The 18,610-nt window shown below is 41.0% G+C and overlaps 1 long non-coding RNA gene and 1 pseudogene across 1 annotated transcript in view; both read left to right on the top strand.

The window, feature by feature from the left end:
* LOC105376107 (uncharacterized) overlaps positions 1 to 18,610 on the top strand; it is a 378,142-nt gene that overhangs the window by 152,032 nt on the left and 207,500 nt on the right. The gene's annotated exons all lie outside the window — the stretch shown is intronic.
* On the top strand, positions 1,458 to 2,396 carry RPS2P34 (ribosomal protein S2 pseudogene 34; annotated as a pseudogene).

Here is an 18,610-nt window from a genome sequence, read left to right on the forward strand (position 1 = left end):
GGATGAACAGATCATAGGAGAGTACTGATTCTCCAACCTTACATGGTCTAACACTTTGTAGTTTAAAAAGCACTTCTGGGCTGGGCGTGGTGGCTCACGCTTTTAATCCCAGCACTTTGGGAGGCCGAGGTGGGTGGATCACGAGGTCAAGAGGTCTAGATCATCTTGACTAACACGGTGAAACCCCGTCTCTACTAAAAACACAAAAAAATTAGCTGGGCGTGGTGGCGGGCGCCTGTAGTTCCAGCTACTCCGGAGGCTGAGGCAGGAGAATGGCATGAACCCGGGAGGTGGAGCTTGCAGTGAGCCGAGATTGTGCCACTGCACTCCAGCCTGGGCTGCAGAGCCAGACTCTGTCTCAGAAAAAAAAAAAAAAAGCACTTCTGCATATATGATCATCTCGAAAATTCCCTGAGATGGGAACTGTTATTGTCCAGAGTTTACAGTGAGGAAATATCTGTAGAGACACAAAGTGTGCTTATCCACACCATACAGAATCATCCAAGGCAGTCGTAGCCCAGTAGTATAGGCTTAGGAGTTGAAATGACCTGGGTTTGAATCAACTGCCATTTATTCTTTTTGTGATCTCGGGTATTGCTTAATCTCTGTTTTTGCCTTTGTACAAAGAAGATAATAATACTCAAAGGAATGTGTAAATGCAATGTGAATGGGAGGGCAAAGATATGTTTTTATATAATATATGAAAAATGCTGGCTGTGAGTGGTGGCTCATGCCTGTAGTCCCAGTGCTTTGGGAGGCCAAGCTGGGAAGAATGCTTGAGGCCAGGAGTTCAAGGCCAGCCTGGGCAACATAGTGAGACCCCCCCACCCGCCGTCCATAAAAACATAAAATTAGCAAGGCATGGTGGTACATGCCTCTAGTGCCAGCTACTCAGGAGGCTGAGGTGTTCGAGGCTGAAGTAAGCTATGATTGTGCCACTGCACTCCAGCCTGGATCACAGAGTAAGACCCTGTCTCAAAAAAAAAAAAAAAAAAAAAAAGGGCTTTGCACAGTATCACCTCTGGAATATATTCTTAAAAATGATAGCTATAATTACTTATTATTAAGTGAAGGCTTTAGGCCTTCTAATTCTACATTCATGATCTTTCCACTATACCTTTCATTTATTGGTAACAGACATTTTTATGATCTCAGTTACATTAATGTTTGGAGATTAATGTGTCTAAAAATTGTCAGTTAATGGCCAACTAAGTCCTGTGTGTTTAAGGACCTTCTGAGAAGGCCGTATTAGTCAGCTATTGAATGGGGTGAAAATGGGTCATAGGTCAGCCTGAAAGAACCTTTTATTCCACACTTCTCAAGGAAAACAGAAAAAAAACCAATGAACCAACCCCCAGTTTTTTAAAAAATTGTTCTTATAAAAATAATACACAGTAGTTTATTTTAAATTGTTTTGGAAAAACAGAGAGTGCAAATAAGAAAGAAATTAATGCTTTTTCTTTGAGAAACACAAAATGGCAGATGATGCAGGTGCAGCGCATGGGCGGGGCAGGTGCCCTGGGGGCCCTGGGATGGGGAACCTCGGTGGCTTCCGCAGATGCTTTGTGGCATCCGGGGCCAGGGTTGTGGCCATGGTCAGGGCTGGGGCCGAGGCCGGGGCCGAGGCCACGGAGCTCGCGGAGGCAAGGCCAAGACAATGAGTGCATGGCCTTCACCAAGCTGGGCCGCCTGTTCACAGGGACATGAAGATCAAGTCCCTGGAGGAGATCTGTCTCTTTTCCCTGCCCATCAAGGAGTCTGAGATCATTGACTTTTTCCTGGGGGCCTCTCTCAAGGATGAGGTTTTGAAGATTATGCTGGTGCAGAAGCAGATCTGTGCAGGCCAGCGCACCAGGTTCAAGGCATTTGTTGCCATCAGGGACTACAATGGCCACGTTGGCCTGGGTGTTAAGTGCTCCAAGGTGGTGGCCCCTGCCATCTGTGGGGCCATCAACCTAGCCAAGCTCTCCATTGTTCCCGTGCACAAAGGCTACTGGAGGAATAAGATCGGCAAGCCCCACGCCATCCCTTGAAAGGTGACAGGCCGCTGTGGCTCTGTGCTGGTGTGCCCAGGGGCACTGGCATCGTCTTTGCCCCCATGCCCAAGAAGCTGCTGCTGATGGCTGGTATCGATGACTACTACCCCTCAGCCAGGGACTGCACCTCCGCCCTGGGCAACTTTGCCAAGGCCACCTTTGATACCATCTCTAAGACTTACAGCTACCAAACACCCGCCCTCTGGAAGGAGACTGTATTCACCAAGTCTCCCTATCAGGAATTCACTGACTACCTTATCAAGACCCACACCAGAGTCTCCGTGCAGAAGATCCAGGCTCCAGCTATGGCTACAACACAGGGTTTTTACACAAGAAAAATAAAGTGAATTAAGCTGGTTAAAAAGAAAAGAGAAAGAAATTAACAAAACATGTTGCATATGGTTTCATCGCTTATAAACAAATACAACTCACCTGATGGTATAATTTATTTGTTTTCTTTGAAAGGAATTATTTTTGTTCTTGTTGATCATAATTACTACCAACTGTATGTATAATTTAGTAGCCTAAAAATATGGGCCTCAGCTGTTGATAATCCTAATAGTGATTGTTTCTTGGTTTTGAGGAAAGTAAGGGGAGTGGGAACACAGAGTAGCTACTTTAGCAGTTTTTTTTTAAAGGCTTAAATTTTATTTCAAACTGCAAAGGAAAAGCCACAAAGTCTGCAGGTGAAGCTCAAGTTTCGAAGTTGGAAACCTGATTCCAGCCTGTTGTTGATACTGTGTTACCATAGATAAGACCACTCATTTTCTTTGAACCTCAGTTTTACAACCTAAAAGTCACAGAAGCAGGCCTAGGATTGCCCCAAAACTGATTTTCAATTCCTAAAGCCTCCTGATGTGTAACTACAAGAATAGAGCCTATCAACCTCACAAGTCTCTTCAGATTCACTTCCGCATAGCTGTAGATGCCTCCAGCTGTTCTCCAAATTCTAGCCACCAAGGGCAACCAGATGGACACTACATATAGGTTTGCTGTTGTCATGAAATCTGCTGCATGAGAACCATGTCAAACTCAGTAGCTCAAACCACAAGTATTTATTCTTACAGATATGCAGGTCCAATTGAGGGTTGACAATGAAGCTGAGCTTGGCTGGGTGGCTCTGTTGCTCTTGGCCAAACTCATTCAGATGTCTGGGATTCTGGTGGAGACTGGCTGATATAAGCTGCACTCAGCATGGGCAGTTAGGTCCTGTTGCCCAAGTCTCTCATCCTCTTGCTGGATCCAGTGGGTCAGAGGGTCATGTCGTGGCAGAGGCACAAGAGAGAAGGCAAGTCATGCAGGGCTTTTCAAGTCTTTGGTCACAATGCACTTGCTGACATTTATTTGGTAAAGGTAAGCCACATGGTCAAACCCAAAGCCAAAGGGTAGGGAAATGTGCTTCATCCTTTTAGGAGGAGGAGTTGCTAAATCACATGGTAAAACAGGTAGATACAGAGAGGGCTGAAGAGTTGGGCCATTGATGCAATCTACTAGATAGCATTCTCCTTTTGGAAACGTGAAGCTGCATATATCACCTCCCACATACATTTGCACTGGTTGGTCTCAGGAAAAGATTTTCTGCACCTGATACCTGTCCTTAAAGAATGGAAGATCTGGGTCTACCTTTCTTGGGACTCATTTTTCTTGCTAATCAGGTATCCAGGATCGCACAGATCAGTGCTACTCAAAGTGCTGTTCAAGGGCTGGCAAAATCAGCAATACTTTAGAGATTGTTTGAACAAATTCTTGGGCCCCATATCAGACCTATTGAATCAGAAATTCTGGGGATGGGGTCCAGGAATCTGCATTATGAAAAGTTTTCTGGGTGAGTCTAATGCTCAGTAAAGTTTGAAAAACACTGGTATGGATCAAATCTTTGCCACAATGTTTCTGGTAGCATCATTCTTATGTTACCTTGTCTTCTCTTATTTTGAACTACCATCATTCATTACCTGACCCTTCTACTGGGGGTGTCAGGATGATAATAATCCAAGGTATCAGCCTTCTTTACTGGACCACAGGCCAAAATGGGCTTCTGGATACTCCTATCCCCACTTCAAGAGTGGACTTCTAGGAGAGCATGTGTGGAAAATTACAGAACAGAGCACTGCCCCAGCTGGTGCCCTGAAGCTTCATATCAAGTATGGAAAACATAGGAATAGGAGGTCACAGGCATATGCAAATCTCAGTTTTTAAACTCTGCCCAATAGATATATACGTGCAATAGATACAAATGTGACACAAATAAATGTCACATTTGTGTTATCTCAATAATTTAGATGAATCACTCAACTTCACAGCTAGAGGTGAAGAAAATAAAAGACTGTTTCTTCATACTTCTAAGAGAGTGAAAGTCGTATTTTATGTGGTTGCAAAATTATCAGAGAGGGAGAACAGCATTGTTCCCCCTTGTCAGGGGAACTCTTGTCTAGGACTATGTCAATCCTAGTAGTTTTATGCCTCATCTAAGGTGAGAGGTGTTACATCTTGTTTCCATTTAGCAATTAATATAATTCTTTATTGAAAATATAATATTAAACTATGCTATATAATATGATATAATTTAATATAATAACTCCTAAACAAATATACTTCTTCCCCATTCTCTTCTCACTTTGATATAGCAGAACTGAATTTATAAGGTTGAGTATCAGCATTTAACATTCCTAAGATGAAAATATCCAAAGTGTCATAACTCAGCACAACTGTGTGTTAACTGTGCACATTGTGTTTCACAGGGAAAGAAATGAAAGAAAATAAAGGGAAAGTAGGTAATTGCTCACAGGATAGAAGAAGATATTATCCTGCCAGTTTCTTCCTGGAACTGTATGCATCATGTCCTGTGTTTGTGATATAGCACAGGGAGTCATTGCTAACAATGAATAACATTATTGGGATGACAGCAGTTTAAGTGCAAAAGAAATTTGAGTTCTGACAAACCAGGCAGACACACACAACATGAAAAATGTATAATGCATCACCATGGCTGGTTGTGTCTGTGGCAGTTAAGATACTGATACTGATTGAGAGGCTCATCTGTTCATTTGATTGTGTCTCATGGTTTAAATCTCTCTAAAGGGTCGGGGTGGGGGTGGAAGAAGCTAGTTTGCTCTGACTGACGGTGCAAAGAGGGGGTTTTGGTCTGCTTCTCATGTAAATGTAAGGAATAAGCTTCTCTGAGTTTGCATTGACTTTATTATCAGAGATAATAAATGGATGAATTCTAAAAAAGGAAAGGGAATGTAAAAGCCTTGAAAGCTTTGAAAGTTGCTGTGTTAACCACACAGCTGGTTACAGATACCTTTGCCAGTGTTGCTGTCACTGTTTATTTGATAACTTGATCCTTTATGGAAGAGAACTTGGAGCCACAGTTGATTTTTTTTCCTTTTTCTCTCACACCCAAATTCATAAGACCTGCCATCTTCCCTTTCTCAATGTTCCCATAAGGCATCTTTTTCTTTTCATTTTTACTCTCACTATCTTATTCATCCCCAGCCTAATCATTTCTCAGTTTGACCTTTGCCACAGCTACCTAGCTGGTTTCCCTACCTCCAGTATTGGAAGTCCTTCTTTAAGGTGGACATCAGTGACCTTTTTGTCCTTTAAATCATAAAGTCTTCCATGGTGCTCCATCCGTCACCCATAACAATGCCCTCCAATGAGAATGCACAAGAGGACAAGACAGATTATAGGAGAGACATTAGGAAACACACATATGCACACACAAATGATTCTAAAGAATTCAGAAATTATCACTTAATACAAGGAGTGATAATGGTACCTGTACTCTGTCCATGTGTCACTTCTGTAGTTGAGGTAACCAATGGAAAGAGAGGGAATTCCAAAACACAGAGCAGTAGACAGCAGTGCCCTTGTGAACCTGCTTAACTGGGCTTACAGATTACATCACCCAATTTTAACCAAAAGAACTCCCAGAAAAATGGGTAAGTGACTTACAAAGCAATAATAAGACAATGGCAGAGCTGGAACTTTGCCTTCTTTTGGCACAACCTCTTTCTCAGTCACATTATGGGGCAGAAACAATAATGAATGACCTAATTAGGTCTGAGAAAGAGTCAGCCAAAAAAGAAATGGAAACTATCAAGAAGATTATTTTAATCATTAACAAAGAACCTCTCCAGCAGTGTAATCTATGCCTTGAGATATTAGCTAATGATAGTAGTAGATATATGTAATGAGCATACATTATGTTTGTATATGTAATTCTTTTTAGCTGATGGGATGCACCATGAAAAGCTAGCTCACACGATAAGTTTCAAGCTCTTAGTCGTGGAATGCCAAACCATCACACCTCAGCTTCTAGCTTTAGCCTTGGTTATTATCTGTCCATTCCCTCATTTCACTAGACTCTCCCAACTGATTATCTGTGTGACTTTGGGCAAGTCACTTAACCCCTCTGGGCTTCTGATTCCTTACTTGAAAAATGTAGGAGTGGGACTGGAGGATTTTTGAAGAATTTGCCAATCCTATTGTAATAGGATTGCTAATAAAGACATACCTGAGATGGCTAATAAAGACATACCTGAGAGTGGATAATTTATAAAGGAAAGTGGTTTAATTGACTCACAGTTCCACATGGCTGGGGAGGCCTCACAATCGCGGTGGAAGGCAAAGGTGGAGCAAAGTCATGTTTTACATGGCAGCAGGGAAGAGAGCATGTGCAGGGGAACTCCCCTTTATGAAACCATCAGATCTCCTGAGACTTATCACTATCATGAGAACAGTAAGGGAAAAACCCACCCCCATGATTCAATTACCTTGCACCAGGTCTCTCCCATGACACATGGGGATTATTACGATTCAAGGTGAGATTTGGGTGGGGACACAGAGCCAAACCATATCACCTACACAGGTGTTTCTTGACTTATGATGGGGCTATGTATTGATAAACCCATTGTTTAAGTAGAGAATATAATAAGTTGAAAATACACTTAATAGCCGGATAAACCCATTGTAAAGTCAAAAAATTAAAAGTCTGGATGCTTCTTAATTTATAGTGGATTTGGGTCCCAATAAAAAAGTGGAAAAATTGTAAGTCAAACTATCCTAAGTTGGGACCATCTGTAATTCAATTGTAATTTTATGTATCACCATTTAGGAATAAGATTTTTTTATGTAAGTGGAGTTTATTTCTTCAATTATCAAAATTTTTAGAAATTACTCTATTTTTGATAGAATTTCTTTAAAATATCTCACACTTCCTATTCTTCTTAAACAGAAAACGGAACATAATTTGACTTTCTCTTGATAACATAGGATCATTAATATACTACAATTCACTATATTGCACTGTCCTCTTATATAATGTTACCTCTAATTGCCATTGAATCATGCAGCTTATTTGCCCTAATGCTAAATGGTTCCAGACTGCTATACTTTCCAATTCTAATGCCTGACTTTATACTTGTTTCTTACAACCAAGTTGTGAACTGGTACTTCATACTCATTCGTTGTATATGCCCTCCTCTCCTGTCTGTCATCTTTCAACTTTCTGGCTGTAAGGTGGAATAGGCTGGGAAAAGAGACCTATGTCTAAAGTAATAGTGGTTATAGAACCATTTAACCACCCTATACTATGCTTAAGTGCAGGGTGAAGGATAGGAAGTAAGACTGGGATTCGAAACTTAACTCCTGTATGCCTCAGTAGCCTCATCTGATAAATGGTGAGGATTAAATCAGATACTGTTTGCAACTTGCTAGGGTAATACCTTGCAGCCCTAAGCACCAACACATTTTAACAAGATAAATAATAATACATAAGGTTTATTAAATGATCATTATGTGGCAGACACTTTGCTAGGCACTTTATGTAGATCTACGCATTTAGTCCCCACAAAACTCTTGTGAGGATGTGTCTCCCAGTATGTCTCTTTTACCTATGAGGAAATGAACATTATTATTCTTTTTCTTTTTTTATGTGCTATTTTTAATTTTTTTATTTTAATAGTTTTGAGGTATAAGTGGTTTTTGGTTACATGGATGAATTATATAGTGGTGAATTATGAGATTTTAGTGCATCTGTCACCTGAGTAAGGTATTTTGTGCCCAATATGTAGTTTTTTCATCCCATACCCCTCTACCAACCTCCCCCTTCTGAGTCTCCAGAATTCATTTTATCACTCTGTATGCCTTTGTGTCCTCATAGCTTAGCTCCCACTTATAAGTGAGAACATATGGTATTTTTTTTTATTCCTGAGTTACTTGTCTTGGAATAAGGCCTCTAGCTCCATCCAAATTGCTGCAAAAGACATTATTTCATTCAATTTTATGGCTGAGTAGTACTCCATGGTGTATATATGACACATTTTCTTTATCCACTCATCGGTCAGTGGGCACTTAGGTTGCTTCCATATCTTTGCAGTTGTGAATTGGGGTGCAAAAAGCATATATATGCATGTGTCTTTTTGATATAATGACTTCTTTCCCTTTGAGTAGGCACCCAGGTAACGGGATTGCTGGATCAAATGGTAGATCTACTTTTAGTTCTTTAAGGAATCTCCATACTATTTCCGTAGAGGTTGTACTAATTTACATTACCACCAGCAATGTATAAGCATTCCCCTTTCACCACATCCACACCAACATCTATTGTTTTTTGATTTTTTAATACTGGCCATTATTGCAGAAGTAGGGTTATTCTCATTGTGATTTTAATTTGCATTTGCCTGATATTTAGTGATGTTGAACACTTTTTCATATGCTTGTTGGCCATTTGCATATCTTCTTTTGAGAAATGTCTATTCATGTCATTTGTCCACTTTTTGATGGGATTACTTATTTTTTTCTTGCTGACTTATCTGAGTTTCTTATAGATTCTGGATACTAGTCTTTTGTCAGATGCATAGTTTGCAAATATTTTCTCCCATTCTGTGAGTTGTCTGTTTACTTTGCTGATTATTTCTTTTGCTGTGCAGAAGCTTTTCAGTTTAGTCAGGTCCCATTTATTTATGTTTGTTTTTGTTGCATTTGCTTTTGGGGTTTTAGTCATGAATTCTTTGCCTAGGCCAATGTCTGGAAGAGTTTTCCTAAGGTTATCTTCTAGAATTTTTATGGTTTGAGGTCTTAGATTTAAGTCTGTGATCCATCTTGAGTTGATTTTTGTATAAGGTGAGAGATCAGTTTCATTCTTTTACATGAGGTTAGCCAGTGTACCTAGCACCATTTATTAAATAGGGCATCCTTTCCCTAGTCTATGTTTTTGTGTGCTTTGCCAAAGATCAGCTGGTTTTAAGTATTTGGCTTTATTTCTGAGTTCTCTATTCTATTCCATTGGTCTGTGTGACTACTTTTATAGCAGTACCATACTCTTTTGGTAACAATAGCCTTGTAGTATAACTTGAAGTCCAATAATGTGATGACTCCAGATTTGTTCTTTTTGCTTAGGCTTGCTTTGGCTAGACAAGCTCTTTTTGGTTCCATATGGGAAACCAGTGGCGTACCTTGGTTTCACCAAGGTTACACACCTTGCTGGCCATCCCATGTGGGGAAGGTGCTTTGCCTACTACCACTCTCCATCTTCAGCCAGGCTGTAGCAGGGATGGTGGAGTCTCCTTGATTTTTAATCTCCAACAGATCTGGTTGCTTTCTTTCCACCTGTGCCTCTGCCAGGCACCTGATGAACAACAACTGTAATGATGTTCTAGTTGCCTTTTAAATAATCTAACTTGTCATATGACAGTGATGTTCTCAGGGCAGGGTCTGTGTTTAGTCGTGTCTCTGGCCTCAGGAACTAGAAAATCATGCAGTTTTTATTAAATGTTCTGAGCAGAATGAGACTTTAAATTAAAATCAGTTTCCATATTTTTTTCCTCTATGTTCTAAAAATTAATTCTCTTGGCATTACAAAAAGTTGAGGGAAGTTGGGATCTTGGAAAGAAATTATCTGTCAGGAAGCGGTGACATTCACATTTTCCACTGTGGGATGACACCTGCTGCTCCTATAGGACAATTAACAACTCTTGGAGGAGGGGAAATGTCTTAAACAAGTGGTGTTTTCTAGGCTTTGGTCTTGATTCTTTGGCCACGGAGGAGAAGGGAACAGGAAGGGAAAATCAAGAACACAACTTATGAAGCCTCTGTTCAAGAATGTATCATATTTTAGAATTGCCATGCAAACAATCACTTCAGATGGGAATATGGGCATGCTCAGTTTGGAGGTGAATCCCCACATGCATGATGTAAAATAGTTCACAGGCGGACTTGAAAAACAGCAGGATGTAGCTGATTATTTAAGGGGTGAAAAGTCCTCTTGATATATCAACTCAGAGCCTGTAAATATGATAACATTCTCTACCTGTCCTTCAGATGGAAAGCTGGAGAAGCGGAAAGGAGGCTGGTCTCACCTGCTTCCTTTAGGAAATAGAGAATGAACTTGTGAATTGAGAATGAAGCAGGCAGCATCAGCTGTATGAAAGTGAGCTCTGAGAAGTGATGTGCTCATTTATTCTCCTCCCCTCCTTCCATCTCTCCCTCTTAACTCTCTCCCCCAAAATAATTAAATGCAAAAGCTACTTGAGTGCAATGGTAAGTTACAAATTTAAACCCACAAGAGTCAAAAACTGTAGAACTGAAGGTCCTTAGGGGGACGTTAACTTTGCCACTTTTATATCATTATAGTAAGCTATTCATTTAATAGCCTAATTTGTAATCACAAATACCATGGGAAATTTCGCTATACCAACCTCTGGCTTCAGTTTTCCTGACTTGGTTGGCGATTTTGAATGTTGTAACCTTCAGAAATGCATATTTTTAGCATTTAGCAGTCCAGATCACTGGCAGATTAAATTACTTATTAGCCACATTTTTCTCAGCTCTATACCCTTTCCAATATACAATAAACTTGGCAAAGTCTAGTGAAGGTACATCTAAAGGTAAGATTAAATAATATAATTGTGCTGTTTCCATTTATTCAGCTGATTTGTATGGCCTAATGAAAGCTTATTTTTACCTGGAGGATAGTCATAGGGAGCTATGAATTAACCAGTGATAAAGATTCTGTTTGGAATTTGTCCCTAAAGGACCTCTCTGCTCAACTGAGTGCACTAAGGGCCCCAATTAATGTATCCATACTCTTCGTCCTGTGAGTTTGTAACTCCTTCTTACTCCACAGTGGGCTTGATCATGTGATTCGCTTTGATAAATGTGACACAAGCAGAGGCTTGAAAAGCACTTGAGATTTTCTGCTTATTATCTTAAGCATATCCTTGAGCTAGCCTTCTAGATTTATAAAAGAGCCAAGTCATCCCAGCCAAGGCCACTCTGGACAAACCAGATCCCAGCCCACATTCTGGCTGACTGTATGCATGTGAGTGGGTTTGGCCAAGATCACCCAAACCTGGCCCAGATTAGGAGAACCACCCAGCCAACCTGTAGAGGCAAAACAGACGATTAGGTAATGTTTTAAGCAAACAGCTTCAGTATGTTTGGAATGCATTATTATCGTGACAATAGAAAACTGGTGCACTTCCCTAAACACTTTTTTTTTTTTCAGACGGAGTCTCGCTCTGTCGCCCAGGCTGTAGTGCGGTGGCGCAATCTCGGTTTACTGCAAGCTCCGCCTCCCGGGTTCACAGCATTCTCCCTCCTCAGCCTCCCCAGTAGCTGGGAATACAGGTACCCACCACCACGCACGGCTAATTTTGTTTTTCTATTTTTAGTAGAGACAGGGTTTCACCGTGTCAGCCAGGGTGGTCTTGATCTCCTGACCTCGTGATCTGCCCGTCTCGGCCTCCCAAAGTGCTGGGATTACAGGCGTGAGCTACCGTGCCTGGCCCATCCCTGAACACTTTCTAACGTTGGAAAATGAGTATACCCCAGTTTTTTTTTGTTGTTGTTTTTGTTTTTGAGATGGAGTCTCGCTCTGTCGCCCAGGCTGGAGTGCAGTGGCGCAATCTCAGCTCACTGCAAGCTCCGCCTCCCGGGTTCACGCCATTCTCCGGTCGCAGCCTCCACAGGAGCTGGGACTGCAGGCGCCCGCCACCACGCCCAGCTAATTTTTTGTGTTTTTAGTAGAGACGGGGTTTCACTGTGTTAGCCAGGATGGTCTCGATCTCCTTACCTCGTGATCTGCCTGCCTCAGCCTTCCAAAGTGCTGGGATTACAGGCGTGAGCCACCGCACCCGGCCAAACCCCACTTTTTAAACGTAGTTTGTTTGAGGGCTATGAACTTCATATGGTAGAATCAAAACTTCTGGCATTAAAACCTTCCTGCTGTTCCACAGCCTCTGCTCGTAGGTGTTGCAGCACCACTTTGTATTTCTACTGCTATTTCACGCTGCAGAGAGAATTGCTATTCAAAAACACCAGTGGGAGCTCTGGTTTCTGCAGCCTGCCCCTACGTTCCCCACTTCTGTTCCCATCCCCTTTCCCATTTGAGACTCGGCTAGAGACAGCAGCAGCTCTGTGAGTCTTAGATGATCTTGTGAATGAGGTCTTCACTTCTCCATCTAAAAATGTGTTAAAGGCAAAAGAGTTTCTTGACACTCAACAGCAGGGAAGAAAGCCCCTGTGTGAAGCAGCCTTCCACTTGACGGTGCATCTCGAAAGGCTTCATCAACAACCCCCAATTACAGCCAAGAAGTGCCCTATCTCTTCAGAATGAGGACAGATCGTCTCCTCTCATCCTGATTCAAAGGTCCCAAAGCACCAGATTCACACACCAAAAAATGCATTTCTGACTACACAGGGTTTTAATGATTTTATTATATGTCTCACAATCTGTTCCTAAATCTGCTCCCATGTAGTTTATATTTACCAATTATTAGCTGAACTTAAGGACCTTTGTTTGGGGCATTAAAGATGATAATGAGGGAATAAGCTTCATTAGAATGACCAACTTTGATTAAAATGTAAATTGAAAATGTCTGATACAGTATATTAGCCTTACTGTTCCAGACTAAATGGTTGTGATATTATCTCAGTCAGGGGAAAAGCCCCTGCCTGGACAAAAGTAAGCATCACCTTTAGTAACAAATAGCATGTGCTTAGCAATTGGAAATCTATGGTGAGTATTCTCTAGTGATATGGAAGTTATCTATGCTTCTGTTAGATGGCAGAGAGTACAAATACTGGAAATTTAGCATTTTCTACAGAACACTGAAAGTGCTCTGAAAGATGAGTGTGAAAGGTGCTTGGGCTTTTGGCCAATGGGAGGTTGCTAAATGCCAGTTGTGGGTAGGCTAAACAAAGAAGAAAGGGTGACCCACAGACTTCTTTTAGAACACACTTCTAGAAAAGGTAAGAGTCTGGCATTGCCTGATTGAACTTTATTTTTTTCTTACTACCAAGTTGTTAATTGATATTTCATACTACCTCATCGTGCATGTCCTCTTCCAGTCTTTCAACTTTCAAGTCGCTGACTGTTAGGTGTCATGGACTGGCTAGACAGACTTGTGTGGTTGTGCTCACACAGAGCTGGTGAGTGAGGTATATATGGAGTTAGCTAGACCTGTGTTCAAATTTTTTATTTACCATTTATTAGCTTCATGACCTTAGACAGCTCTGAGTTTCAAGAATCTCATTTGTAAAGTGGGCAAATGGAAAGATAATAGCTAACATAGCTTATTATGAGGAATAAATAAAATAATGTATGTATGTCTGGGGTGGGGTCTGGAACAGTGTAGGCACTTGCTAAATAATATTCCTGTGCATCTTCCCCCTGCTTTCCTCTATGTTTTAACACTTAGAGAAGCTCATGGTGTGCTATGGCAGAAAGAACTGGGCATATGAAATATTTTTTAGTACTCTGAATCCTCAGGGTAGCTCTACATGAAGCCAGCAGCTAGCTAATGAAGCCTGATTTCTTGGGCATTTGCCTCTTATGGCTGACTGGCTTGTTAACTGAATTATTCAAAGATTTTCATAATATGTTTGAATTTCTTATATCCATTCAGTGGCTAATGAATCCTAGCCAGGCCTGGGGCCTCAGTTGAGAGAGAAAAACATATCTGTTCAAAATATGAGTTGTTTTTTTTTAATTTAAGAAAATGATTATTATATCCTGCTGGATACCTGCAATTATTACTTTGGGATTCATTTGAAATTGGATGGTTGGATAGTGACAGTGAATCTAGACAGACAGCCTGGAAAGGAAGTTGCTTTATTGATTTATTTTCATAGGAACTCCCAGAGCTGATGATCACAAAAGGGGAGGAAGTTCGATGTTTGAATATTATAGCCCACAGAAGGAAAAGTTGTGTTGGTCATTTGTAAGCCAGAAAGCAAAATGTGAATTTTTCCAACTTGTTTAACCTCCCACTAATGCCATTGTTTTATATTACCATTAAGGTTAAAAATATCATCTATACAGATGTCATATCTATTTAGGGTGTTTATCTTATAAGCTCCCAGCCCTTGTGCTGAGCTCTGGACTATTCATCTACATCACCAAGATATGCTTCTTAGATTTCTCTAAGGTGTTATATGCTTGTTTTTAAATACAAAGATATTCTTGGGACTATCTCCAGAGAGACACATGTGCAACTGAAAAACGAACCTATCTGAGGTAACTACTGGGTCCACATTAAAAATACAGTGAGGAGAAAGTGTTTCTGACTTTGGCTGGGTAACATTTTTCTATTTTAATAGAAGGAATAGTGGATTGGATGTGTTATCAGGAAGGAAGCTATTCCCCTCTTTATTCAGATTATTTTCTTCTCTGGATCCAAGATGTTTGGGGATGCCAAACAAAACCCCCAAAATTTTTTAAAAGTTTACCATTAAAATTTTAGCATACTATCAAAGCAAGAAAAACTCATTTTTTTCCCCACTGGTGACTACTTAGCCAGATAAAAAAAGCTCTATCTGTAGGCATCTTCCCATTTAAAAGAGAAATATAAGAAAGAGAAGCACCCAGATTGAAGGAGTATACATGGTTAACCATAAATAGTTAGAATTTGTGAATAGCTTTACATCTATAATTCAGGTGCCTTGTTACCAAAATGTTTATACTTGTCTGTGAGCCAGTTCTCTCTAAAAAGTTTGTTTGTTTATTTATTTATTTATTTTACCTCATATCCTCTGAAGAAGGTTGGTTTGTTGGAATTTTTTTTTTTTTTTTTTTTTTTTTAGATGGAGTCTCGCTCTGTTGCCCAGGCTGGAGTGCAGTGGCACGATCTCAGCTCACTGCAAGCTCCGCCTCCCGGGTTCAAGCGATTCTCCTGCCTCAGCCTCCCCAGTAGCTGGGACTACAGGCGCCCGCCACCGCGCCCAGCTAATTTTTTGTATTTTTGGTAGAGACGGGCTTTCACCGTGTTAGCTAGAATGGTCTCCATCTCCTGACCTCGTGATCCGCCAGCCTCAGCCTCCTAAAGTGCTGGGATTACAGGCGTGAGCCACCGCGCCCGGCCGGATTTTTTTGAAGTTTTATTCTGTTATCAGTGATATTGTCTGTCCAGTGCTGCAATGTTTTCCAGATTGTTTTTCTTTCCCAAGAAACAGTGTGTTTTGGGAACCACTTCATCTCAAGGACATGTCAAAGGAGAAACATATGCCACATTAGTGACTCCTGCCTGGTGGGACATAGACTTTAAAGGTGAAGAGCTATGGAAAGAGGTCAAAGGTTCATAAACTTCCTAAGTATCTATTATGTAATGCGCTTCTCACATGGAGGCGTAGTTCTTTGTTTTTGAATGTGTATATGCGGTTATGCTGAAGAAAATGAGAATTCATTTAAGGTTATTGCTCAATTCTAATAACTTTCTGTTAGTTATTTTTTTTTCCCAGTCAGTGGTTCCTAAAGGTACATCTCTTACATGTGCTTTTTTTAAGTAAAAATGGAGCCCTCATGTTTGAAATGTTGGGACACCCCTGCCCTGAAGCGACAAAAGTGAAGATAAATATGTTTCTAAAAAAGCCATTGGTAAATCAGGATAGAAAAGGGGTTTGTATGAAGACTTAATGAACTGAAACAGGAAAATTAGAGAACCAGTCTCATGAGATGGTAAAAACAAGACAGGCTGGGAAACTGACTGCTTAGTATTTTGGTTATCTACTACTGTGTAGCAAATCACCTTGATCCTTAGTGACTTTAAGTAACAACATCTTTTGTAGTTCTCTGTGTTGACTGGGCTTAGAGAGGCTGTTCTACTCTATGTGATGTTGCCTGGGGCTGCACTCATCTGAATTAAGTGCTTGAGGGCTTCCTCACATATTTAGCCCTTTGGCAGGGACAGTGGGACTACCAGGTCTTTCTTGTTCTCTGTTATCTCAGGGTCTCTCCCTCTTCAAGCGGTCTCCCTAGTAAGGTAAACAGACTTCTTCCGTAGTTGCTCAGGGTTCCCCAAAGCACAAAAGTAGAAACTTCCAGGTCTTCTCAAGGTTTAGCTCTAGAACCGGCACAGCACCACTTCCTCCACATTCTGTTGGTTAAAGCAAGTCACAGGTCAACACAGTTTCATTGTGGAAAAGAACTATACAAGAGAGTAGATACCTGGCGGTCCAGTTCATTGAGAACCATCTTTGGAGACTAGTAACCACACCTAGTTATGGACATATTTTAAAAAGTGTGGCTAGGGTGTTTCTGCCGCCCTATAGCCACTGGACACTCATAAATGCCATGACTGGACTCTTAACCTGAATCCACTGCTGCTACCAGTATTTTTAATAGCCACTGCATTGTTTACATCATTCCTTCAAGGACTGTTAGTCTCATGCCTGTGCCCTAGCTGTCAGAGAGCAGGGAGAGAGATTGTCTTCTCTCTTTGTTTTCTGTTGTAGAAGGAAGGGAATGCTCTTTCCAAGATTCAGCTGACTGTATGTCCTGGTTTGCTGGGACAGACCTGACTTATGCTGATTGTTCCAACAGGATTATTAACCATGCCCTCTCTAATTCTTAATAGCTTTCCAATATGGATGACAAATTATTGTCATTCTATAGCCAAGTCCCACACAATGGAGGATTCCCCAAAACTAGGAAGAGGTTTAGATTTTTGGGTGACCGTAAAATGAAAAGTGCCCACTCGCACTCTCCATAGGCTATCCACCACCACACTTTTCTTCTTCTACCTATACCCTAAAAAGACAACTGTATGTACCTGATGGAATGCACCTAATGCATGGCCCTGAATCTTGTCAGTTGCTTCATCTCACTCCAAACCCAGAATCTCTAGGCATTGTCCATTTCTCTTCCAGGTCTGTCCTGATCCTCTTTCCATTTTCCACAGTCTAAGGAATAAACTGTAAAGTTAACCAATGCACTTCATATACAGTAGTTCTGGGACTGGGAGAGGGAAGAAAAAGAAAATTAGTTAAAATGTGTCAGCATGAATATAAACAAAAAGGAAGGAGGATATATTGGAGGATCTAGTCCTCAGATCTGCAGCTGGCACCTTACCCTGTACACTTGCCACCCCTCGGTCTCTGGATTTTCAATCCTGGATTATGAATACTTTCTGAATGTTCTTTCATATTCGTCTCTCTTATTCCAGGTTCAAAAGTGTGAAGCAATAATAGTGAAGCCTACATAATAAGCCAATGCTTGGCCTGCCTTAGAGAGAGAAAAGGGGATGTCTGCCTCTAGCACCACTTTGCATAAAACATGCATAATAGTGGATGCTCTCCGAGTAGGAAAGAGTACTAGTATTGCTACTCCCTTTCATCTAACATGTTATTGAAACTGGAAAAAAAAAAGATAATTGATAGGTAGGAGTGGCAGAGTGGCTAATCTAGCTTTTAAACTCAGTATCATGGGAATCTGCAGGTCACAAGATTGTTAGCTGAGGCCTGCTGCTACCGTTTGGGGATAATATAAGATGTCTGAGCTGGGAGAGGAGAGCCTTTGCAAGGGCAAAAGGGCAAGTGTGTGATAAACTGGGGGAAGAACGAACATGGATGGCTTGGGGAAACAGAGGCAGGGTGTTTGAGGGATGTGGACTTAGCAGAGTATTTAGCAGATGCTATGGATTTCAGTTATAGCATAGAATCAGAGTCTGTCCTTCAGTTTGATAAATTCCTATTTGAGCCAGGCTGACTGCAAGATGGGATGATTGGCTGGTGCTAAGAAAAAGGAGGAAACGTGGGTCAGATTCTTGTAATGGGTTAATGATCTCCACACCTAGTAGAATTCCCTTGTGTTGAACCATAAAACCTGAGTCTTAGTCTAAGCCTGCCTCAAATTGGATATATTAGCATAGATTATGCTTATTTCTTCATTCATAAACCAAGGGATTTATAAGATCAGATCATGGGTCCTAACATGAGGTCTCCAAATTCCAAGAGATCTTGAATATTGAATTGGAGGGTGTACTTAGACAGAATTCAGTTCATTATCCACAATATGGATTCATAGGTTAACTAAAAGGTGAATTACTGTAGACGGACATTAAAATTTAAATGTGATGAGTACACTGAGTTTTAAATGTGATGAGTAATGGTGTAGTATAAGGTGCCAGGGAAATACACCATGGGGAACTCAACCTATTCCAGGGGTCTGAGAAGGTCTCCCAGAGAAAGTGATACTTAGGTGAAAGGTGAAAACCAAAACTGAGTATGCCGAGTTGTATTTAGGAAAAAATTCAGTTTTGAGGCATGACAAAGATCAACACACTGCAGTGAGT

This window comes from Homo sapiens, chromosome 9 (assembly GCF_000001405.40).
Source record: "Homo sapiens chromosome 9, GRCh38.p14 Primary Assembly".
NCBI lineage: Eukaryota > Metazoa > Chordata > Mammalia > Primates > Hominidae > Homo > Homo sapiens.